The 25,980-nt window shown below is 41.9% G+C and overlaps 1 protein-coding gene across 1 annotated transcript in view, besides 2 other annotated features; it reads right to left on the bottom strand.

Annotated features, from left to right (window-relative positions):
- The window catches only part of GALNT8 (polypeptide N-acetylgalactosaminyltransferase 8), a 52,327-nt gene that overhangs the window by 4,586 nt on the left and 21,761 nt on the right, over positions 1-25,980 (bottom strand). Inside the window, exons 4-10 of the mRNA NM_017417.2 lie at positions 23,441-23,624; positions 22,515-22,712; positions 21,883-21,997; positions 6,998-7,183; positions 4,751-4,888; positions 4,094-4,189; positions 2,595-2,762 (exon numbers count right to left, since the gene is read on the bottom strand). Coding sequence (NP_059113.1) covers positions 2,595-2,762; positions 4,094-4,189; positions 4,751-4,888; positions 6,998-7,183; positions 21,883-21,997; positions 22,515-22,712; positions 23,441-23,624 — 1,085 coding nt within the window. The remainder of the gene's footprint in view (positions 1-2,594; positions 2,763-4,093; positions 4,190-4,750; positions 4,889-6,997; positions 7,184-21,882; positions 21,998-22,514; positions 22,713-23,440; positions 23,625-25,980) is intronic.
- Positions 3,866-4,366: an enhancer, noted in NCBI's record as "H3K4me1 hESC enhancer chr12:4872941-4873441 (GRCh37/hg19 assembly coordinates)". NCBI's record gives its function as "activates a minimal SCP1, AML or CMV promoter by ChIP-STARR-seq in primed H9 embryonic stem cells {active_cell/tissue: H9 hESC(primed)}" and the evidence as "EXISTENCE:reporter gene assay evidence [ECO:0000049][PMID:30033119]".
- Positions 9,704-9,998: a silencer, noted in NCBI's record as "tiled region #13428; HepG2 Repressive non-DNase unmatched - State 12:CtcfO". NCBI's record gives its function as "represses a minimal TATA promoter and a strong SV40 promoter by Sharpr-MPRA in HepG2 cells {active_cell/tissue: HepG2}" and the evidence as "EXISTENCE:reporter gene assay evidence [ECO:0000049][PMID:27701403]".

Here is a 25,980-nt window from a genome sequence, read left to right as displayed (position 1 = left end):
TTTATAAACACTTCTGAAACATTTAAGAGAACTTAAGAATTGAAAAATTTAAAGTCAGGTAATTGAAGTTCTTAAGAAAGGAAATTTAACATATTAAATTTGTAAATACAGCTCATCATGTTTAATGGAATTTAATTTATTAAATTAAAAAATCTTCTTTAAAGGGGATTGTCAAAACTTGTTAGGCTTATAGATAAAATAGTAAAATTTGTAAGCTGAACTTAAAAGCTTAAAGAAAAACCATGATTCTTTGAACACTCCTTTGCACCGAGTACCATGCTAAATGCTTTACACACACTATCTCATTAAATGTTTTAATTTATAACTTGAATACAATGAATATTAATTTTTTAAAACAAAGTAACTTGTTGTAGTTTTCTTCACACGAACAAAAAAGATATGATTAAGGCCATCAAAAACTCATATTTAGCACCCTAGGTCTGCCAGATGCTCAGACATGCTGTGCTTGGTGACTGCCATTGACAGAGAACTCACCACTATGCTCAGCAGCCTATTCTTCTGTAGGAAACCTGAAGCTGTAAGGCCTTTAGTAAGTCCTCCCCTTGCTCCTACATTAAGTCAAAATCTGCCTCCTTAATCTTTATCTGTGGGTCTCAGTTCCGCCCTCCTGCAACATTAAACAAATCTGCTCCCTCTTCCTCACAAAGACAGCATCACCTTTTCTCTATCCATAAGCCTAACAAGCCTTTCAAGCTAATATCTCCAGGCCTGCCAATCTTCCATTTGCTCTGCAACCATTTGTTGAGTGCCTGCCATGTTCTAGGGGTTGTGCCAGATGCTAGAGAAAAAACAGCAAACCCCAGGCCCTGGCCTCCAGCTCACAGCCAAATGATGAAAAGAAAAAAGTGAGCAGACAATTGCAAGAGATGGTGAGACCAGGGCTACAAAAGCACCCCTGAGAGCAATTAGAGGAACCACCCAACCGACTCCTCTGGGGTCACAGAAAGCTTCCCAAGGAAGATGATGTCTAAGGCCAGGGGAACACTTTGTAGTTGGCCTGGTGAAGAAGCGGGAGGGGAGGGAATAATACCTGCAGAAAGGCCTAAGGTCAGAGGGAACCTGGATTTTCACTGAATTACATGTAGTTCCATAGAATTGGAGCTTAAAGTGAGACATCAGAGACTGAGAAGACATTACCCTCCTCCTTCTAATTGATATTGTCTAGTTCAGGGAAGCTTAATCTAGGATGCAAAAAACCTCTGAAACTGTAAGCAAATCTTGCACATAGGTCATATGTATGTTTTCCTGGAGAGAGACTCCATAGCTAGCAATGAATTCTCAAAGGGGTCATTAACTTTGAAAAGTTAGAAACTGTTGAACTAGATTGTCCGTGTGGCACCTGAACCAAGCATAGTACCGCATTCAGAGACACAGTCAGAGACAGAGCAGTAGCTCCCTCCAGGAGGTACTGCCCCTTCCTAATGAATTGGCCCAAGAGTGCAGAAGCTTTTGGAGCAAGCCCATCCATTATAAATTCCCCACAGACTGTTGTCAGCCAAGACCCTCGCGTCATCATCACATGAATTCTGCCAGATTCCCTCCGCCCTGTCCTTGGTCATTTGATATTGAAGTTAAAGGCAGAGCTTCTACATTAGCCTCTGTCAGATTTCAGCATAGTATTCCACACCCTCTGATAATCATTAATAATAAATGGATCACAATGGCTAATGCGTATTGAACACTCTTCTGCTCCAGGCACCACGTGAAATGCTTTACACACGCTATCTCATTTAATCCTCCCAAAAGTCGCATACAGAAGATATTATCATCTCCATCATTTTATAATGAGGAAACTGAGCTTCAGAGAGGGTAAGGAAATTGCTATACTGAGCTAGGACTTGTGCCCAAACTCTCAACCGTTCAGCTACAACAGACTCCAATATTTCTTCTCCTTAACCACCCTGCCTTAGTCAAGAGACTCAGTGTTTCTTACCAGTTCCCTGTTTCCAATATTTTCCCTACACGGGGCCACAAGAAGTAATTCTCCTAAAACACTATCAAATCAAATCTGAACCTTTCATATACCTATCATTTAAAAAACATGTAACTCGCCAGGCACAGTGGCTCACACCTGTAATCCCAGCGCTTTGGGAGGCTGAGTCGGGCGGATCACGAAGTCAGGAATTCAAGACCAGCCATGGTGAAACCCCGTCTCTACCAAAGACACAAAAATTAACTGGGCATGGTGGCATGTGCCTGTAATCCCAGCTACTCAGAAGGCTGAGGCAGGAGAATTGCTTGAACCAGGACCTGGGAGGCAGAGGTTGCAGTGAGCCAAGACTGCAATATTAGGTAACACACCAGAAATTACATGATCACCTCCCTTTTCAATTTTTGTGTTCTTGACATAGTGGCCATAGAAATGGACCCAGACTGTAGGTTAGAATGGTTGGCAGAATTTCCCTGGATGTCCTGCCTTCCAGATCTCACAGCCAACCCAAATCTCTTTTCTGTCAGTAGCCTCAGTCAGCTGAGAAGCCACTGCACTCTAGCCTGGGCTGCAGAGCAAGACTCAGTCTCAAAACAAAACAAAACAAAACAAACAAACCAACAAACAAAAACACATAACTCACCGGTTTAAAATCCCAATATATATGCAGTCTATTCTTAGCTGCCTTGGAGCATGGTTCTAAGGTGGGCTTCTCCGCCTTGCCAGGGTCTGTCAGGCAGCGATCACTAGCACTGGCCTCTGCAATCAGTTGTCCCACATAGAGCTCCCCAGTTAGGTGATAGTAGACATTCTAAAAAAAAAAAAAAAAAAAAAAAAGCAGAGGGCTCACCATAGGCATTGTCAGCCAGCAGGAGACCCTAGCCCGAGGGACAGCAGGAAGAATGATCTTGGGGCCCCTAGACACCCAGTCACACCAAGAGCACTGAACCTTCCTGGACAACATGAAGCAACCTCTGCTTCCTTCTCCTTAGTCTCTCCTTGAATCCAGGGAGAAGGCCAGGCCTAGGAGGGTTCCAACAGAATCATAGCTTACATGGATGAAGAAGCTTGTCTTTGAAGAAAAAACAAAACTGAACTCCAGAATCTGTCACTGCAGGCCTCAGCTATGGGTTTGTTGTCAGAAAACCTTTCAAATTCCTGGTCTGACACTATCTTGCTCAGTGAGCTTGGACAAGTAGGTTATTAATGTGTCTCCATTTTTTCAACTAAGTGCAAATGATATCTATTGTGCATGCCTCAAAAGGTTGCTATGAGGGCAGCATGCAAAGTAAGAAGACAGATGTGAATATTGTCCCTAAAAAAAAAAAAAAATGTCCAGGCCAGGTGCGGCGGCTCCAGCCTATAATCCCAGCACTTTGGGAGGCCAAGGTGGGCGGATCACGAGATCAGGAGATCGAGACCATCCTGGCTAACATGGTGAAACCCCGTCTCTGCTAAAAAAAAAAAAAATACAAAAAATTAGCCGGGCATGGTGGCAGGTGCCTGTAGTCCCAGCTACTAGGGAGGCTGAGGCAGGAGAATGCCGTGAACCCAGAAGGCAGAGCTTGCAGTGAGCTGAGACCGCGCCACTGCACTCCAGCCTGGGCGACAGATCGAGACTCTGTCTCAAAAAAAAAAAAAAAAAAAAAAAAAAAAAAATCCCCTGACTGCACCTTCCACATGGTGCCAGGGCCCTTCCATCCCTTGGAGGAGCGTCTGCTCAGCCTCTATCCTCTCTAGCTCTGCTTCCTTCGCTATAGGAGAAGCACAGGTGGCTTCACCTGTCCACTTTCCCAGGCTTTCCAGTAGCAGTGAGAAGATGGCGGGAGCAGTGGGAGGAGGGGAAAAGGAAGGGACCAGAGGTGATTGTCAATGCAAATATCACCATGCAGAATGAATGTGACAGAGCATAGCTTTTCTACCTATCCTCCCTGTAACTGAAATGGAACTACGTTGCCACGGCTTTCTGAAGAAACTAAGACGTGCTCAGTTACAAGTGCAGGTCTGGATTTCACCCTTACCCAGGATGCTCCGCTCCTGCCTCCCCATCACGTATCACGGAGTCCAGACCCAGCAATGGTTACCAGGGGCTGAGCCACGACAGACTTGCCCAGGCAGGGCCAGGAAGATTGTGGAAGATACCTGTGAGCTGAATTCATGGCAGTAATACATGATGGGGGTGTTGCCTGGAACGGGTCCCTGATCCAAGCAGACATTTTCATCCAATAGGTTTTTCATCTGAAGGGGACAAAACACACGGCAACACTGTTAGAAAGGACAGAGAATGAGGCGCCATCCCTCCCAGGGCCTACATTTTCCCCAACACACCGAGGACACCAGGAACGACCAGCCACAAGGAGCAGAGGGCTGGGATCCCGGCAGGCATTTTCTAAGCACTGGGAAACAGACCAGCGCCGAAGGGAGGCGCTGCTGCGCTGCCCACATCCGGGAAACACCCATCACCTCAGCCCATCACCACACACACAGGGAGGGGCGCCTCTGCGGAGTTCAGGCGGACAAGGCCAATCGCTGCAGCTGCTGGAGAAACGGGGGCGGGGCGGGGGGGAGTCCAGGCAAGAGCTATAGTTTTCAAGGGGAGTAGAAGCAGAGAGAAGGAAAAGAGATGGGGATCGGGGAGCAAGGGACAAAAGGAAACTGAGAGGGTTGAGGGCGAAGAGCTGAGTAGAAAGCTGAGGTAGGAAGGGCGTCTTGGGCAGGACAGGCAATCACGAGATTCAGGCCGCATTGTCTTTCACAGTCAAACATTTAAAATCCAAAGTGCAATTTCATAATACATACTCTTCCATAGCCCACGATGGTGTGGAGTGGCTTCAAGAGTGGATAAACATTTTTCAGGTACCAGTCAAAAGTTTTACATTTCAGTTTTTCCCGGAGTGCCATTCTGGAAGAAACGTCTCCAAAATCTATTCCAGAGTTCTGTAAATAAAACGCCAAGTGTTTCTGTGCTTTGATTCATGAAAGCTCTGTTAAAGCGAACTAAATATGGCCTGAGAAGGACTCCATATTTCTGCATGTGAGTCCTTGTGGACGGACTGCAACCCAACTTAATGGATAGACAAGATTGAAACCCTAACTTAGGACTATGCACCTGTAACAATAGCTGGGTCTTGGCCAATCCCAGCAGCCATACTTCAACCATTCATCCATTGTCCAGTGTTCAAGTGTTCAAATAAGGCAAACACGGAGCTGTAACCAATCCAGCTGTTTCTGTACCTCACTTCCGATGTCTGTACGTCACTTCCCTTTTTTTTGGTCTATAAATCTTCTTCCACCACATGGCTGCGCTGGAGTCTCTGAATCTGCTGTGATTCTGGGTGCTGCCGCATTTGCGAATCATTCATTGCTCAGCTAAACTCCTTTAAATTTAATTTGGCTGAAGTTTTTCTTTTAACAGCTCCTTCACTCCACCAGTGGGTATGGACCACGCATGATGGAACTGAGTCTTTTTCTGATAGCCTGTGAAGTAACCTTGATATTTTATATTTCCAGAGAAAGTGGAAAAACCTTAAACCCTAGAAAATTCTGCTCTTTCAAATTCTGCTCCTTCAAGGCCTGCATAGTGGGGCCGCTCAGGTTTATTTCTCCTCATAAGCTTACGCAGATTGCTCCTCTTTGAGATGATATTTACATCAATAAAACCCAACATACTCCTCATGATATGGCCAGAAAAGGCTTTTGGAAGGAATACTCTAATACCAAGATTTGGAGATTAAAAGAGACTTTTTTAGAAGTGATATTTGTGGGGAATCAATGTAAAATAATACTAAAGAGGCAAATTAGGAAAAGCAGAAACCACTTGTGTATCTGCCCTCTTCCCAGAATTTTCCTTTGGGGCTCATTGTGGATCATCCCATGTAAAAATTTAGATCATCCTTTGACAGTTCAGTATTTTACAGACAATTCTTTGTACAGCTTGGGACAGTCACAATATGACTGTGTGGAAATAAAAAAGCTAGGGATGTCCTGGAGGGTACTTGTTTTCCTATCATACCTTGGTATACTGGGACATCAGAATCAACTCTTACCCATCTCTCTTCAAACAATGATCCAACTGTAAGAGGTTATTGGCAGCTTGGATTAGGAAAGGAAGCATTTTGGTATCTTTAAATGATAAAGAAGGCTCAGGCATTTCTGCACATTTTTACAATCTCCAGACCTAGTGATCCCAGTGTTAACCTGGCTCCTGACCCTAGGAGTCCTTCCAGACTTTCTCTTCTAGGTCCATCCACAGTTACCCACCATCCTGACTCCCTGTCTTTCTGGGGGCTACATTAGAACCCACTACGATGGAGGGATGAGTTTGTCAATGAGATAACTCCTCCCTGTGGGCCAACACAGCTCCACATGCTCTGGCCCGGAGCCAGAGCTCAGGGACACGAGAGAGCACAGCACGACCTTAAGCAGCCAGTGTATAAGATGTGGGCTTAGCTCAGAAGGCCAACCTTGGCTGGGTGCAGGGGCTAACACTTTTAAACTCAACATTTTGGGAGGCCAGGAGTTCCAGACCAGCCTGGGCAAAATAGCAAGACCCTATCTGTACCAAAAAAAAAACTTAAAAAAGAATGCTATCCTCATTCTTGTGCATCCAACAAGATTACAGTGCCTTCTCCTACCACCCCACATCATACCTGCTATGTTTATATCTCTCATTATAAAAGAGAGATGAAGAACATGGAACTTAGAAGCCAGATTTCCTTGGTTTGAATCTTACTCCCTGCATTACCTTAAACAAGTTTCTTCCAACTCTCTGTGCCTCAGCTTCCTCATCTGTAAAATTTAGAATAATAAAAATAAAACCTATCCCCTACATATGTTGTGACGGCTAATAAGTTAATATATAGAAGGGTCCGGAATGCAGTACTGTACTGTTACATAAATGTTAAGAGCCATTATTATCACACCATCAGGACCTTACCCTAATTCTTTAGGGCTGCGATGGCACTTTTGCTTTATCCCTCCCCATTACATAACCGCCACCTCCTCCTCTTTCATTCTTCCGTGCTGCTGTTCAATTCCATGACTCACCTGGAGAGGTATGTTCCAGGCCAAGTAGACCATGTGTTTGTGCTCATCCATCCAGATTTCGGCCACTCGCAGAGCATTGCGCTTCAAGGCAGCGGTGAGATCCAAGGCGTAGGGCTTGTGGTGTCTCTCTAGGTGGGCAATCCGGGAACAGGGCAAAATCTCGACCTTCCCTCCACACTGCCACACCTGCAGAAGAAGACCAAAAAATCACCCGTGCTTCACAGCCAATGAATTGCATAGCTTATTGACACAAGAAGACTACATTTTAGAGCCGTTTTTAAAGAATGTAAGCTCAGTCCTCCCACTCCTGCCTTTATATTGCCTCCTCTAACTTTCTTATCTAAATCATCTTTCCTTAGAAGTCTACTGAACTGCTTCTCTTCTGTCATTCAAACAACTCCTGAATCATACTTCTTTCAGGAAGTCCTCCTACATGGACCAAAGGAGGGGCTGCCTCTGCTCCCTTATCCCCAAGGAAAGTGCCCATGTCCTGAGAGGCACCATGCCCTGAGCCACTCTCACTGCACTAAGTTCCTCATGCCCCTTCTCTGCCTGCATGCTAGACAAAGGGCAATGTGGCAGACAGACGCCAAAGTGACCCCATGATCCCTCCTCCTGGTGTCTACAGCCTTGCCTGATCCCCTCCCCTTGAGTGTGGGCCTGTGACCTGCTTCTAACCAACAGAATATGGCAAGGATGGCAGGATGTGCTTGATTACATGGATCATGAATACACTGCATAAGATTGGAGGGTCCATTTTGCCAAGAGATGCTCTCTTTTGTTGGCTTTGAAGAAGGAAGCTGCCATGCTGTCAGCTAACACATAAAAAGGGAAGACATTAAGAGTGGCTTCCAACTGATACCCAGCATAAAACTGAATGCTTCCTCAGCCTGGAAGACTTCAAGGAACTGAATGCTGCCAACAATAATGTGAGCTTGAAAGCAGATCTTTCCCCAGTGGAGCCCAGATGAGAACCCAACTCTGGCTGACACCTTGATGGCAGCCTTACAGAAGACCCAGCTAAACTGTGCATGGACCTCTGACCCGCAGAAACTGTGAAATAATGAATGCATCTTGCTTTAAAACACTAAGCTGGTGATAACATCGTTATACAGCAATAGATAACTAATTTGCATAACTTGACCAAATGCCTTATGACCCAATTACAAATACTCATTTTTACCATCCTGATGGGTACAAAACATACTAATCAAAACACACATTCTAATATTGAGCTTAGAAAATATTATGTTCATCTCAGTAGCTAATAGGACTATTTAATCATATTGGATCGACGTGATGTCTCCTGTGTCTTCTCTTCACGGTTGCCTAAGTGAGATGCAGTTTCTGGAAGGTAATTAGCCCATAGCAGTGGCTAGCAACCTACCACGCTCATGCCAATGGGAGCACCTGAGATAACAGTGTGTAGCTTAGGCCACGGCGGTTCAGTTAACTTATCAAGAGTGTCCAACTGAGTAGTCAGTCTCATTATCTGACTTTCAAATTGTTTTCATCCTTTTCTTCACTTCTTAAAACCCTAGATTCCCCTTCCTTTGCACCCTATTTGCCAGAACAATGGACTAAAAAAAAAAGAAAAAAAAGCAAGGCTTTGAAATCAGACTGACCTATGTTCAAATTCTGGTTCCATCATTGCACACCTGGCAGCTAGAGTGTTTTGCCTCTAGCTGCCAGGTGTGCAATGATGGAATAAGTTGACCCTCAACTTATTCATCTGCTATAAGGGCACAGCCACTATTTGGGTTTTCACTGGGATTAAATGATGTAACAAGGAATCAGTTATGGCAGCCTCTGAGATAACCTGAAGTGCACATTTTCTTTCATTATCCTTCTCTGGCTCTCCTCATTGGCCCCCAGAATCATGTGGAGGTTACATCCAGCTTGCACTCAGATATTATTATTCTCTCTAGCCAAACATTCAAAAATCCAAATATTACCTTACTCCAATTTTCCTAGCTGATGGAGGTTTTCAACTCACGTGAATTCAGGGAGAAAAATTAACTGTTATCATAAGAAATCTTAAATTCAAGTTAAAAGTCAAGATTGCTGAGGCCAGGTGTGGTGGTTCATGCCTGTAATCCCAGCAATTTGGGAGGCCGAGGCAGGCAGATCACTTGAGGTCAGGAATTTGAGACCAGCCTGGCCAACATGGTGAAACCCTGTCTCTACTACAAATACAAAAATTAGCCTGGTGTGGTGGTGCACACCTGTAATTCCAGCTACTCAGGAGCTGAGGCAGGAGAATCACTTGAACCTGGGAGGTGGAGGTTGCAATGAGCCTAGATTGCGCCACTGCACGCCAGCCTGGGAAACAGAGCAAGACTCTGTCTCAAAAGAAAAAAAAAAAAAGATTGCCGTTTATGAAGTAATGCCCATAATTAGCTTTGCCCAAAAGTTTTCAAACTCTGCTCTCCAAATTTATTCCCACTTGCCAAATTCCTTCCATCATCTCTCTCTCTCTCTCTCTCTCTCTCTCTCTCTCTCTCTCACACACACACACACACACACACACACACACAGAGACATTAAGCTTCTGCTGATAATAATATATTACTTTGTGCCATATGCTGTCCTAACACTTTGCATAAATTTAGTCCTCACCATACAGGTATCTCCCTTTAAGTAACCTGCCCATGTTTACCAGCTAGTAAATGACAGAGCTGCATTGTGAGCCCAGGAAGTTACATGTTCAGTTCTGGCACAGTGTGTGAAATATACAAGGTGCTCAACAAATGCTGTTTTTTCTTTCCTACCCATCATCTCCCTTCTTAACCTTTCCTACCCATCATCTCCATTTACACACATTGATGAGCACCATCCCTGTCATGGCCACTAGATGTCAGAATAAAGCACTCCATGCAGCTCTGATGTTCAAGATCTGCTACTGGAGAAAAATCCTAATAAGTACTTAGATGTTTTAAAAGGCAAATAGTCTCACACAAACCAAGAAGCTGGATATGGGCAGAACTGCTTGATCCAAAAAAAAAGGAAAAGGATGACCCTATATTTTAAGCAAAGTCCATTTTAAAAATCACAAAATATTAAAAGAAAGAATGTCTTGTAGAAACTGAAATGGCAGTGTTCTGTGTGTGTTTGGGAGAATGAAAACAGAGAGACTCAGCCTAGGTGCAGAAGGAGAGAACAAAGCATCAGGAACTCAGAAATAATGAGGGCTTTGGGTCTTAAGTTGAAGAATTGGGGAATTCACCTAAAGCTCTGGTAGGTAAGAAAACCTAGCCACAGTGTAACTAGGGTCATCCTCAAGACTTTGCTAAGTACCGTAAATAAAGTTATTATTTTTGCATTTATATTTTTTGTGTTAGACAGTACCTGTACTCCCAGTGTCTATTCTGATTCTGCTCTATATCTACAGTGATAGAAGAAACATCTGGGCACATAACCCAGTAACTAAAATCTATATTTCCCAGACTCCTTTGCACACAGGTGTGGCCATGTAACTAGGTAATGGCCAACAGAATGTGAAAAGAAATAATATACACAACTTTCAGGTAGTGCTCTTAAAAAGAAAGAGCTTGCTCTCTCTCTTTCCCCCTTTTATCTTCCTACTGGCTAGAATACAAATATGGTGTTGAGTGTGGCAGGACCACCAAATAAAAGTCTTGGCCCCTATCACCCTAGAGCTGCCATATCAATCCTGAACTGCTTATGTTCAAACTGTTATAGGAAAGAGAAATTAATTTCTATCATGTTGAAGCTTCTGTTATTTTAGCCTCTGTCAGAGAAGCTGAATGAGCATTCTAATTAATATCTTTATAAAATTATATCAAATTCATTATTACATTGTGACTGTACCATCATTCTTATGAGGTACATTAAACAAAATGCTTCTCTTCATTTCACAAATGGGAAAACTGATCAGACCACTGCATTTGTCTGTTTTCACACTGCCATAGAGAACTGCCTGAGACTGGGTAACTTATAGGAAAGAGGTTTCATTGACTCACAATTCAGCATGGCTAGGGAAGCCTCAGGAAAATTACAATCATGGCAGAAGGCAAAGGGGAAGCAAGGCACCTTCTTCACAAGGCAGCAGGAAGGAGAATGAACGCAGGAGGAACTACCAAACACTTATAAAACCATCAGATCTTGTGAAAACTCACTCACTATCAGGAGAACCACCTGGGGAAAACCCCCCCGACATGATCCAATGACCTCCACCTGGTCTCTCCTTTGACACATGGGGATTATGGGGATTATAATTTAAGATGAGATATGAGTGCGGACACAAAGCCTAACCACATCAACCACCATCCAAAAAAGGTTAGTTTTCTCTGCCAAAGAATGATTATGGCTTAAGGTATAACCCAGAAAAGACTCAAAATTCATTTGTTAACATTAAATGTGGAGTCCTGAGTGGGTCCTTACTGGGTACAGTACATGGCTATGGGGTCATCAGTTTCAGTTAGAAAGAAATTAAAGACAGTGGAATGAAATAAACTCTAGATGGGAAATTACTTTGTTCCTCCAGACACCACAGTGGATCAGAGATCACCTTGTCACAAGCACAGAATTTCAGGGCTTGGAGGGGGAAAAAAGGTCATCTTATAGAAGCTTAGTCCACAGTGACTTAGCAGAGACAGCATTACAACTCAGGGTCAGTGTTTGTTACAATGCCACCCTGACATTCTTATTATTGTCATTTTTACCGTTAAACATTTATTGAGTGTAAACCATATGTCACTCACCATACTAGGTGCTTAATGCAGCAGGTATGGCTTAGAGGGCTTGTATGTTGCACAAAAACTCTTAAGAGGCAAAGCAGGATTTTGACTTAAGTCTGTCTGTCTCCAACACCTGTGTAATTTCGACTACTTTCCATTGCCTCTTTTAAGAGTTCGGCCTTAGGCTGGAAGATGAAAAAAGATGAACTACCAAGAACAATCACAAACCCCCGGGCCAGCCCCTTCTAATGAGGCCCTGTAGATTACACCAAAAAGGTAAAAGAGATACTGTGGAAATGATATTTTATCCACAAAATCTCTTCTAAATTGATTCTGATTCATGAAATTTATTGGCCCTAATTCTTCACACCATTTCAGGGTTGGCCATGTGACTTACTCTGAAATAGTTTGCTACTTCTAAACCTAGGCCTTACGAGACTTCACATGGTCCCATTTGCCCTCTTACACACCGTAAGAAGAGCTTTCTGTCCTAGGTAGCTGCTATCCCACATTTGCCTGAGCCCCAGAGTGAACACATGTGGAACACGGCCACTCCATCCAAGCCAGCTGGATCTGCAAATCTGTGAGAATTGATTATTGCTGCTTTAAGGCACTGAGTTTGGGTTGATTTATTGCGTGACATTTTTTGGCAAGAGTTAACCAATACACTGACATATCTTGAATCTGCACTTGTAATTTCTCTATTTTTCTTGGTTTGCATCCTGAATTCCCTTATAGAGCACAAAAATTCAGGTTGGGAGAAGTGGTGGAGCAAGATGGTTGACTAGAAGGCTCCACCAATCATCCCCCTGACAAGGATACAAATTTAACCACTATTTACACAAGCAAAGCACCTTCATAAGAACCAAAAATCAGTTAAGCACTCACAGTACTCATATTTTAACTTCATATTGCTGAAAAAGGCACTGAAGAGGTAGAAAGGACAGTAGCGAATCACTGATGCTACCCCTCCCCCATCCCCAGTAGCTGCAGCATGGTGTAGACAGCATTTCTGTGTGTTGGGGGAGGAAGAGCACAGCAATCGTGAGGCACTCAACTCAGTGCTGTCCTGTTAGAGCAGAAAGGAAAACTGAACCAAACTCAGCTGATGCCCACCCAAAGAGGGAGCATTTAAACCAGCCCCAGCCAGAGGGAAATCACTGATCCCAGAAGTAGGACCTTGAGTTCCCACAAACCTTGCCACCAGGCTAAAGTGCTTTGAGTCTCTAAGTAAGCCTGAAAGGCAGTCTAGGCAACTATTAGGGGAATCCTAGTGCTGAACTGGGCCCAGAGACAGTGGATTGGGGGTGGGGAGGCAGGTCACACAACCTACTGAAATATCAATTGGGGCCACTAAGGCAGTACTGGCATGACCCATCCCTAACCCCAGGATGTACAACTTGCAGCTCCAAAACAGACCCCTTCCTTCCACTTGAGGAGAGGAGAGGGAGAAGTGAGGAGGACTTTGACTGCATCTTGGATATCAGCTCAGTTACAGCAGGCTAGGAAATCAGTCAGAGTTGTGTGGTCCCTGGTCCAGGCCCTAGCTCCCAGATGACATTTCTAAACACACCCTGGGCCAGAAGGGAGCTCGCTGCCTTGAAGGGAAGGACCCAGTCCTGGCAGCATTTATCACCTGCTAGGTGAAGAGCCCTGGGACCCTGAACAACTAGCAGCAATACCCAATACTACATTGAGGGCCGTGGGTAAGTCTCTGAGACTTGCTGGCTTTAGGTACCAGCTCGGCCACAGGTGGGTAGAGCACCAAGCAGTCTCTTGGGGGTCCCTGATTCCAGGACTTGACTCTTAGATGGCATTTCTGGACCTGCTCTGGGCCAGAAGGGAGCCCACTTCCCTGATGGGTGAGTCTTAAGCCAGGCAGCATTCATCATAAGCTAACTTGAGAGTCCTTGGGCCCTAAGGGAACATGAGTGGTAGTCTGGCAGGACTCCCTGTGGGTCTGTGGTGGCACTGGCCTCTAACTTTGGAAAGAGGAGGGAAGAGTGGGAAGAAGTGTGTCTTGTGGTTTGAGTGCCAGCTCAGTCAAGCTCAGTCACAATATAATAAAACATGAGGTAGACTTTTAAGGTATTTTACTTTAGTGTCTGACTGCCAGACAGCACCTCTGGACCCACTTGGGACCTGGAGGAACACACGGCCCCGAAAGGAAGGACACAGGCCTGTGTCCTGTGTCCTGGCTTTGCCACCTACTGATTGTAGAGCACCAGGGTCTCAAGGGAACATAGGAAGTACACAGTGAGTGGTTACAGCAGGCCTTGAGTGAGACCCAGTTCTGTGCTACCTTCAGGTCTGACCCAGAGCAGTCACAGTGGCGGTGGTCACGGGGTTGCTTGTGTCACTCCACCCCCAGCTTTAGGTAGCTCAGAACAGAAAGAGAGATAGACTCCATTTGTTTGGGAGACGTAAGGGAAGAGAACAAGGGTCTCTGCCTGGTAATCCACAGGATTCTCCCGGATCTTATCCAAGACCATCAAGGTGGTACTTCTATGAGTCTGGAAGAACCACAGCATTACTGGGCTTGGGGTGCCCCCTAAAGCAGGTACAGCTTAGACCATAACACCCATGTCTTTTTGAATATCTGGAAAGCCTTCCCAAGAAGGATGGGTACAAACAAGCCTAGACAGTAAAGACTACAATAAGTAGTCTTTACTTAGAATAAGTAGACTAACTCTTCAATGCTCAGACACAGAAGAACATTTACAAGTATCAAGATAATTCAGGAAAACATCATCTCACCAAATGAATGAAGGGACCAATCCTAGAGAAACAGAGACAAGGGACCTTTCAGATGGAAAATTCAAAATAGCTGTTTTGAGGAAACTCAAAGAAATTCAAGATAATTAGAGAAGGAATTCAGAATTCTATCAGATAAATTTAACAATGAGATGGAAATAATAAAAAACAATCAAGCAGAAATTCTGGAGCTGATAAATGCAACTGGCATACTGAAGAATGCACCAGTATCTTTTAATAGCAGAATTGGTCAAACAGAAGGGAGAATCAGTAAGCTTGAGGACAGGCTATTTGTAAAATACATAGTCAGAGGAGACAAAAGAAAAAAGAATACAAAGCAATGAAGCACGCCTACAGCATCTAGAAAATAGCCTCAAAAGGAAAAATGTAAGAGTTACAGGCCTGAAAGAGGAGGTAGAGAAAGAGATAGGGGTAGAAAGTTTATTCAAAGGGATAACAACACAGAACTTCCCAAACCTAGAGAAAGATATCAATGTCCAAGTACAAGAATGTTACAGAACACTAAGCAGATTTAACCCAAAGAAAACTACCTCAAGGCATTTAATAATCAAACTCCCAAAGATCAAGGATAAAGAAAGGATGCTAAAAGCAGCAAGAGGACAACGTACAATGCAGCTCCCATACTTTCTGGCAGCAGACTTTTCCATGGAAACCTTACAGGCCAGGAGAGAGTGACATGACATATGTAAAGTGTTGAAGGAAAAAACTTTTACCCTAGAACAACATATACAGTGAAAATATCCTTCAGACATGAAGGAGAAATAAAGACTTTCCCACAAAAACAAAAGCTGAAAGACTTCATCAACACCAGACCAATCCTACAAGAAATGCTAAAGGGAGTACTTCAGTCAGAAAGAAAAGGATGTTAATGAGCCCTAAGTAATCATCTATAGGGATAAAATTCACTGGTGATAGTCAGTACACAGAAAACCACAGAATATTATAACACTGTAACTGTGGTGTATAAACTACTCTTATCCTAAATAGAAAGTCTAAATAATGAATCGATCAACAATAATAACTACAAAACCTTTTCAAGACATAGTACAGTAAGATATAAATAGAAACAACAAAAAGTTAAAAAGTGGGGGGACAAAGTCAAGGTGTAGAGTTTTTATTAGTTTTTTTTTTTTTCAATTGTTTGGTTGTCTGTTTATGCAAATAGTGTTAAGCCATCATCATCTTAAAATAATGGATGATAAGATAGTATTGCAAGCCTCATGAAAACCCCAAACCAAAAAACATACAACAGATACACAAAAAAATAAAAAGCAAGAAACTAAATCATATCAACAGAGAAAATCACCTTCACTAGAGGAAGACAGGAAAGAGAAGAAACAAGAAAGAAAAGACCACAAAACAATCAGAAAACAGATAACAAAATAGCAGAAGTAAGTCCTTTCTTATCAATAATAACATTGAATGTAAATGGACTTAACTCTCCAATCAAGACATAGAGTGGCCAAATGAATGAAAAAACAAGACCCACTGATCTGTTGCCTATAAGAAACATACTTCACCTATAAAAACACGCATAAACTAAAAATAAAGGGATGGAAAAAGATATTCCATACCAATGGAAACCAAAACAAAGCCGAGTAGCTATATTTATATCAGGCAAAATAGATTTCAAGACAAAAACTATAAGAAGAGACAAAGAAGGTCACTATATAATAAAAAAGGGGTCAATTTAGCCAGAGGCTATAACAATTTTAAATATATATGCACCCAACACTGGAGCATCCAGATATATAAAGCAAATATTATTAGAGCTAAATAGAGAGATAGGCCCCAATACAGTAATAGCAGAAGACTTTAACATCCTATTTTCAGCACTGGACAGATCTTCCAGACAGAAAATCAACAAAGAAACATCAGACTTAATCTGTACTATAGACAAAGTGTATCTAATAGATATTTACAGACATTTCATCCAGTGGCTGCGGAATACACTTCTCCTCAGCACATGGATCATTCTCAAGGACAGACCATATGTTAGGTCACAAACAAGTCTTAAAACATTCAAAAAATAAAAATAATCGCATGCATCTTCTCTGACCACAGTGGAATAAAACTAGAAATCAATAACAAGAGAAATTTGGGAAACTATACAGACACATGGAAATTAAACAATATGCTCCTGAATGACCAGTGAGTCAATGAAGAAATTAAGAAGGAAATTGGAAAATTTCTTAAAACAAATGATAATGGAAACACAACATACCAAAACCTATGGAATATAGCAAAAACAGTACTAAGAGGAATGTTTATTCTAAGTGCCTACATCAAAAACAGTAAAAATTTCAAACAATCTAATGATGCATCTTAAAGAACTAGAAAAGCAAGAGGAAACCAAATCCAAAATTGTAGTAGGAAATAACTAATAGATCACATTTGTCCATTTTTCCTTTTGTTGCTATTGCTTTTGGCATCTTTGTCATGAAATCTTTGCCTGTCCCTATGTCCTGAATGGTACTGCCTAGGTTGTCTTCCAGGGTTTTTATAGTTTTGAGTTTTACATTTAAGTTTTAATCCATCTTGAGTTAATTTTTGTATATGGTGTAAGGAAGAGGTCCAGTTTCAATCTTCTGCATATGGCTAGCCAGTTATCCCAGCACCATTTATTGAATAGGGAATCCTTTCCCCATTGCTTGTTTTTGTCAGGTTTGTTGAAGATCAGATAGTTACAGGTGTGTGGTCTTTTTTCTGGGTTCTCTATTCTGTTCCATTGGTCTATGTGTCCGTTTTTGTACTAGTACCATGATGTTTTGGTTGTTGTAGCCCTGTAGTATAGTTTGAAGTAAGGTGGTTATTATTAAAAAGAAGAAAATAACAGATGCTGGCAAGGTTGTGAAGAAAAAGGAATGCTTGTACACTGTTGATGGGAGTGTGAATTAGTTCAGCCATTGTAGAAGGCAGTGTGTTGATTCCTCAAAGATCTAAAGACAGAGATACCATTCAACCCAGCAATCCCTTTACTGGGTATATACCCAAAGGATTATAAATCATACACATGTATGTTCATTGTAGAGCTATTCACAATAGCAAAGACATGAAATCAACCTAAATGCCCATCAATGATAGACTGGATAATGAAAATGTAGTACATACACACCAAGGAATACCGTGCAGCCATAAAAAATGAAATCATGTCCTTTGCAAGGACATGGATGGAGCTGGAGGCCATTATCCTTAGCAAACTAACTCAGGAACAGAAAACCAAATACCACATGTTCTCACTTTTAAGTGGAAGTTAAATGATGAGAACACATGAACACAAAGAGGGGAACAACTCACGCTGAGGCCTTTTGGAGGGTGGAGGGTGGAGGGTGGGAGGAGGGAGAAGATCAGGAAAAATAACTAACGGAGACTAGGCTTAATACCTAGGTGATGAAATAATCTGTACAATAAGCCACCATGACACAAGTTTACTGATATAACAAACCTGCGCTAGTACCCCTGAACTTAAAATGAAAGTTAAAAAATAAAAAAGAAATAATAAAGATCAGAGTAGAAATAAATGAAATTGAAATAAAGAATACAAAAAAATCAATGAAACAAAAAGTTGGTTTTTTGAAAAGTTAAACAAAATTGACAAACCTTTATCCAGACTAAGAAAAAAAGAGAGAATATCTAAATAAATAGAATTGAAAAAGACATTACAACTGATTCTGCATAAATTTAAAGGAACACTAACAGCTCCTATAAGCAACTGTATGCCAACAAGTTGGAAAATCTAGAAGAAATGGACAAATTCCTAGACACATTGAACTTGGTTCAAGATTGAACCAGGAAAAATATCCCAAACCTGAACAGAACAATAACAAGTAATGAGATCAAAGCTGTAATAAAAAGTCTCCCAGTAAAGGAAAACCTGGGACTCAGTGGTTTCACTGTTGATTTCTACCGAATATTTAAAGAAAAACTAGTACCAATCCTACTTAAATTTTTCCAAAAAATACAGGAGGGAACATTTCCAAACTCATTCTATGAGGCCAGTATTACCCTGCTACCAAAACAAGACAAAGACACGTTAAAAAAAAAAAAGAAAAGAAAACTACAGGCCAATATCTCTGATGAATATTGGCACAAAAATCCTCAACAAAATATTAGCAAACTGAATTTGACAATACATTAGAAAGGTCATTCATTATGACCAAGTGGGATTTATCCCTGGGATGCAAGGATTGTTCAACATATGCAGATCAATCAATGTGAAACATCATATTAACAGGATGAAAGACAAAAACCATGTGATCATTTCAATTGACGCTGAAAAGGCATTTGATAAAATCCAACTTCTATTCATGATTTAAAACCCCTCAAAAAACTAAGTATAGAAGAAACATACCTTAACATAACTGAAAGCCTTTCCTCTAAGATCTGGAACATGACAAAGGTGCCCATTTTCACCACTGTTATTCAGTGTACTACTGGAAGTCCTAGCTAGAGCAATTAGACAAGAGAAATAAATAAAGGCATCCAAGTTGGAATGGATGAAGTTCAAGTTACCCTTGTTTGCAGATGACATAATCTTATATTGGAAAAACATAAAGACTCCACCAAAAAACTATTCGAACTGATAAATTCAGTAAAGTTGCAGGATGGACAATCAACATACAAAAATCAGTAGCATTTCTATGCCAATAGTGAACAATCTGAAAAGAAATCTTTAAAAGTAATTCCATTTACAATCACCACAAATAAAATTAAATACCTAGGAATTAAGCAAAGAAGTAAAAAATATCTCTAAAATGAAAACTATAAAACCCTGATGAAAAACATTGAAGAGGACACCAAAAAATGGAAAGATATTCCATGTTCATGGATTGGAAGAATCAATATTATTAAAATGTCCATACTACCCAAAGCAATATACGGATTAAATACAATCCCTATCAAAACACCATTCTTCACATAAATAGAAAAAACAATTCTAAAATTTATGTGGAACTGCAAAAGACCCAGAATAACCAAAACCATGCCTAGCAAAAAGAACAAAACTGGAGGAATCACATTACCTGACTTCAAATTATAATACAGAGCTATAGTAACCAAAACAGCATGGTACGAGCATAAAAACAGACACATAGACCAGTGAACCACAATAAAGAACCCAGAAACAAACCCACACACCTAGAGTGAACTCATTTTTGACAAAGGTGCCAAAAACACACACTGGGGAAAAGACAGTCTCTTCAATAAATGGTGCTGGGAAAACTGGATATTCATATGCAGAAGAATGAAAGTAGGTCTGCATCTCTCACCATATACAAAAATAAAATGAAAATAGATTAAAGACTTAAATCTGAGACCTCAAATTATGAAACCACTACAAGAAAAAAATGAGGAAAATCTCTAGGACACTGGTCTGGGCAAAGATTTCTTCAGCAATACCCCACAAGCACAGGCAACCAATACAAACATTGACAAATGGAATAACATCAAGTTAAAAAGCTTCTGCACCGCAAAAGATACAATCAACAAGGTGAAGAGACAGCCCACAAAATGGGAGAAAATATTTGCAAACTACCCATCTGACTAGGGATTAATAACCAGAATATGCAAGGAGCTTAAACAACTCTATAGGTAAAAATTTAATAATCCAATCAAAAAATGGGCAAAAGATTCGAATAGACATTTCCCAAAAGAAGACATACAAATGGCAAAGAGGCATGTGAAAAGATACTCAACATCACTGATCATCAGAGAAATGCAAATCAAAACTACAGTGAGATATCATCTCACTCCAGTTAAAATGGCTTATATCCAAAAGACAGGCAATAACAATGCTGGAGAGGATGTGGAGAAAAGGGAACCCTCGTCCACTGTTGGTGGGAATGTAGATTAGTACAACCACTATGGAGAACAGTTTGTAGGTTCCTCAGAAAAAAAATAAAAATAGAGCTACCATATGATCCAGCAATCCCACTGCTGGGTATATACCCAAAAGAAAGGAAATCAGTAAATCAAAGAGATATCTGCACTCTTTTGTTTGTTGCAGCACTGTTCACAACAGTCAAGATATGGAAGCAATCTAAGTGTCCATCAACAGATGAATGGATAAAGAAAATGTAGTATGCAATAGAGTATTATTCAGCCATAAAAAAAAAGAATGAGGCCGTCACTTGCAACAACATAGATGGAACTGGAGATCATTATGTTAAGTGAAATAAGCCAGGCACAGAAAGACAAACACTGTATTTCTCACTTACATGTGAAATTTAAAAATCAAAACAATTGAACTCATGGGCATAGAGAGTAGAAGCATGGTTACCAGAGGCCGGGAAGGGTAGTTGGGGGAGAGGGGATGGTTAATGGGTACAAAAATAATAGTCACAAAGAATGAATAAGACAAATAAGACCTACTATTTGATGGCACAATAGGATGACTATAGTTAATAATAATTTAATTTTGCATTTTAAAATAACTAAAAGAATATAATTGGATTATTTGTAACACAAAGGATAAATGCTTGAGGGGATGGATACCCCATTCTCTATGACATGATTATTATTCATTGCATGCCTATATCAAAACATCACATGCACGCCCTAAATATATACACCTGCAATGTACCCACAAAAATTTAAAATTTAATTTGTTTTAAATTTAGGTTGTTCATTTAACCTAAACAAGCATGGGAAGCTGTCAGGGGCAGACAAGAGGCATCACTGCTTAAGTGTGAAGCCAGTATTTTTCCAGACACACAGAAGTTGGTCAGGACTAGCACTGGTTTGAGGATTTATTGTTTCTTTTTCTTTCTTTTTTAATAGATACAAGGTTTCACCATGTTGCCCAGGCTGGCCTTGAACTCCTGGGCTCAAGCAATCTGCCTGCCTCAGCCTCCCAAAGTGCTGGGATTACAGGTGTGAGCCACCGTAACTGGCCGGGTTTGAGGATTTCAGTTATATAATGATAAAAACCTGGCTATTTGTCTTAGATTAGACTATATCTCAGCACAAACTCAGGCTATCACGTCAGCTGCTCTGGCTGTGAGTACAGAAGCAGGCTGGCTGCCCACACGTCTGCATTCCCTAGTCACGCTGCCCACTCCTGTTTTTGCTGTCTTTGGCCTTCTAGAGAATTGTCTGCTCCAAGGTTAAGTTTATCCCAGGAGATGCTTGAAAAATGCCCAGAGTCCTCAAGTGAAATAGGGACATCTATCTATTCAATCCCAACTTGACCCCTTCCCACCCCACCTCCCAGATTATATGGGCTATACCAGGAGTGTCCACTCCAGAAGTCCTATTGCCCCCCGTCCTTGGCCCAGTTGCCTAGAAACATAAGAATGTATCCACCTTTGAGCCAATGACATTCAGCCTTGTTCTAGGATTCCAGGGGTCCTACTACCTTTCTATTATTCCCCTTTCTGCTTTGTCCCATAAAGAAAAGGGAAATGTACCCACCCTCAGGCTAAGCTCCACGTTCTCTCCTCCATAGATGAGCATTCCACCATCCAGAGACCCGATCTCTCCCAGGAAGTGCCTGTTAGCAGCCAGGATGCCCATGATTGAAGGACTCCTACAGAGCACACAGCAAGAGTCACTAATCTCTCCATAAGGAGCGGAGGCGAGGGGTGGGATGCTCAATGATTATTTGGGCTTCAGAACTCTACCTAAGTCTGTTCTTATCATGAAGGCCTTCCCTAAACTCTCAGGCAAGACTAAGTGCATGTAGCTTTCCCTCGCCCACTGCGTTATCATAACCCTTCTCAAAATATATTGAAATTACACCTTTTTCTTCTAGGTATCCTTACTTCATAGTCTGCTAAAGCTTGAAATGGCCCAAATGTTTTCCAAAATTTTAAGTGTTTTGCTTGATTTTTGTCTGAAAGTCCCTAAATATCCCAAAGTGTCTGTGATTTCTTAACTGGGATAACTTATTGGGGTTTTTTCCCTCTATCCCTTGTCCTTCACCTCATCCCCTCCCCTCCTTCCACGTCACCCCAATTACTACCACCAAAGATAAACAAAATCCATTCAGTTCATTCCTGCCTTCCCACATGCTACTCAAGTTCCCTGAATCTCCTCAGACTTACTTCACTGGGGCAGTGACATCATGCAGATCAATCCAGGCTTGTGGCAGTGCATCGTAGCGGCACCAGAGTTCCCAGTTAAACCCATCAACTGCCAGTTCATACTTATCCAGTTTGAAGGTGTCAAAACGAATGTTGTCAAACACAGGAGACACAATCACAGTGCGGTCCTCCTGAATCCGAGCCAAGATTGGCTCTGCCCTAGAACAAGAGTGTGCAGAAAGCCCAGCTTGGATATGAGGACAAGCAGTAGGGGAGAGCAGATAAAGCTGTTCCAAGCACCTTGCCCTGACATTGAGTACCTCCTCCATTTAGGCTGTACTGGGTTGTGAGTAGAACTCTCTAGAGTCCAGAGAATCTCTGTAACCTTTCGGGATAGCTGAAGCTGCTAGAAGCCAACCCGCATCGAGAACAGGTTTGAAATTAGTACCCAGGTAACACCCCCAGGCCGTTGTGAAGCAGCATTCTCAGTATGTATATTACTCCTTGAATTTACGTTATCTCTTGGTTCTCCGTTTCCAAAGTGATGCTTCTTTCCTGTCTGATTCTCCACATTCTCTAAAGAACATAGTTCTCTTTATTTTATTATGTAATTTCATGGCTGGGGAAAAACCTTTAAAATAACCAAAGGCTAATCTCCTCATCTTTACAGTTAAAGACACAATGTCTAGTTAAGTGAAGTGACTTACTCAAATTCACAAAGTATTTGGCAAAGTCAGCATTATGATCCAACTGTCAATACTCTCCACCATGCTACTTCTCTTAGCCAAGCAAAATCCCTGCATAAAAGCATGCTGTTTTGGAGATTCCCTTTATTTAAGGCCTGGTGCTGACTTTCCCTGTGTCCACAGTATCCTGTCTTGTGTTCAGTACATGCACAATATCTCCTCTCTGCCCTTTCCAGAAGAACTAGCCTCTTTGAGCCTTACCACCCAACATTGACTTCAATGTGAGCATCCAAGATGGCGACCACGTCTGCTGTGGCAGCTTCCCAGCCAGTGTTGCGGGCTTGAGCAAGACCTTTCCTTTCAGGATGCCGTATTATTTTCAGTAGTCCTGGATACTTCTGGTTGTAAAGCTTAATCTTCTCATCCAAGTGTACCTTTAGTTCTCCTGTCAATCAAGTGCACACCTATAGAAATTCTGAGTGCAACAATCAACGTGATACAAAAGTTTTATACTATCATATATTAGTGGCTGGACTACCTCCAGCATAAAATGGGCAATTCTAAGAGTCAACTAGAAAATAAGTAGTATTTCCCCTGCACCTGCCTCTCTTCTCCCTTGCACCTGAGGTGTACTGTGATCATTCCTAATGTCCTTTCCCTGACAGTTAAACTATCTTAAAATGATAATACTGCTTACTACGTGTCAGGCACTGTTATAAGTGCTTTTTCACGTTGAGAAGTTCTTGAGAGAATGAGTGGACAGATCTAGCCTAAGGTGCACAGGTTGATGGAAAACACTGCAGGAAGGCCTGGAACATCTTCATAGCTAAACTCTCAAAACTCTGGAGAATCCATAAATGACTAAAATTGTTTTGTTTTAGATATTCCCAGTTGACCTACTTAAGGACCAACTGGGACAGAATGCACAGATTAATCTCTTTGCCAGCTTCTAGCTAGTAAATTTAGCCCAAAAATTATGCAAACAAGATTCACTATTCCTAGATTGTTTACAGGTAGTTTTCTTCCCTCTCTTCCCTCTCTTTTAATAAAGCTTGTCTATGGCTTTGTTCTTGGGCTCAGCCTACCACTGACTTCCTCACGTGTAAGTAAACCACTTGCAGGCAAATCACTTAGCAGTATGCAAAATATCTAACCAAATGACTCTGAGTTACTCATTGATAAAATTAATTCAGTTAATTCTGAAAGTATCTCATGTGGTAGGCACTACAATATCCCCACTTTACAGATAAAGAAACTGAGGCACAAAGAGTTTTAAAAACTTTTCCAAGTCACATATCTAGTAAGTGGCACGCCCTGGATGTGAACCTATGCTGTGTTTAGCCACCAGAACACCGTGTCTCAAGAACTCTGTGAGTACCTGGTTGGGTTTACCAAGTCCTCCCTCCCTCTCCTCTCTCCCCATAGCCAAGGAACGAGATTCTTGCCAGTTCCTCTCTCAAAAGACGAGCATATTTGTGAGACCTAGAGTGATCAAGACCTGGAATCAACACCTAAGTGACTATGGCAGTAAAATTTACCCCATTTTAGATCTGCTGCACTCAAGAGTAATTGTCTCAATTATTGAAGGTGCTAAGCAGGGCCAGTACGTCTAAGGCTGTTTGCTTCCTCTGGGAGTAAGCTGGGGTAGCCAAGGTTGCCAGTCTGTACACTTACCCAGGCACTACTTTTAGTCAGTAATCCACAGGAGGCGCCACTGAACCTGAATATCTAGATTCTAATTCAGTCACTACATCATCCTGTGTCACTTCCCATTGGATGTGTCTGATTCCTCAACCTAGAGAAAAGTACCATAGTGGGCATGGTGGCTCATGCCTGTAATCCCAGCACTTTGGGAGCCTGAGGCAGATCAGTGCTTAAGCCCAGGCGATTGAGGCCAGCCTCGGCAACAGAGTGAGACTGTCTCTTTTTTAGAAAAACAAATATTAAAAATTTCAAGAAAAGTACCAAATAGTCAGGACCCTTCCAACTCCAAATTTTTATGAGCCATAGATTCTGAGTCACCTCCTGAAAAATAATGCCTATCATATAGCACAAAGATTAAGGACGCCTCGACGGGTTTTCTGAAGACAACCTATGCTCCCTTCCCAGCTTTGCCCTCCTACCGGTCTCCTCCCCAAAGCCTGCTATCCCAGGCTGGTCAGCTCAGGGCGCTTCCGGATTCCTCACTTTTGTTCACACCATTCCTTCGGCGCTCCCTAGCTCTCCACCCCGACCCAGTTTCCCAGTCTTCCCTCATTTTCTCTGCTGTCTCAAATCCTATGACGCCTTCAAGTCCCAATCCGAGCCTGCCTCCTCCAGGAACCCTCCTTAGATCACCACACCCCACACCCCCACACCGTGCTTTCTTTTGCTCACTGACGGTTCACTCGGTTTGTCACGTTATTCTTCACACATTAAGGTATCTTTCCACAGATGTGTCTTGCCTCATTAATTAAGAAGGAAACTTGAACTCTCTGACATCCTCCTCCCTGCCCAGTGGCTAGCACATGGTAGAAACTCAACATGTAGTTGTTGATTGTGAAATTTTCCTAAAATTAGGGAGAAAATACAGCATTCCACCTACCTTGATATAATTTTTAAAAAGCTTACATCTCACATAACATTTGAGTGACATTTAACATTTAAGCTCAAAATATTTGAGTGATGTGAATAAAGCTTAACATCTAGGGAAAGACAGAAAGGAGGCAAACCTCTGGCACCAGGTTGTGGCATTTCAAAAGTACTACAAATAACACTGAGATAGGTGAGGAGCAGAACACTAGCTAGCATGTAATGGGAAC

Source organism: Homo sapiens, chromosome 12 (assembly GCF_000001405.40).
Source record: "Homo sapiens chromosome 12, GRCh38.p14 Primary Assembly".
NCBI classification, from domain to species: domain Eukaryota; kingdom Metazoa; phylum Chordata; class Mammalia; order Primates; family Hominidae; genus Homo; species Homo sapiens.
Note: the sequence above shows the minus strand (reverse complement) of the source record. Positions and strands in the feature narration are given on the sequence as shown.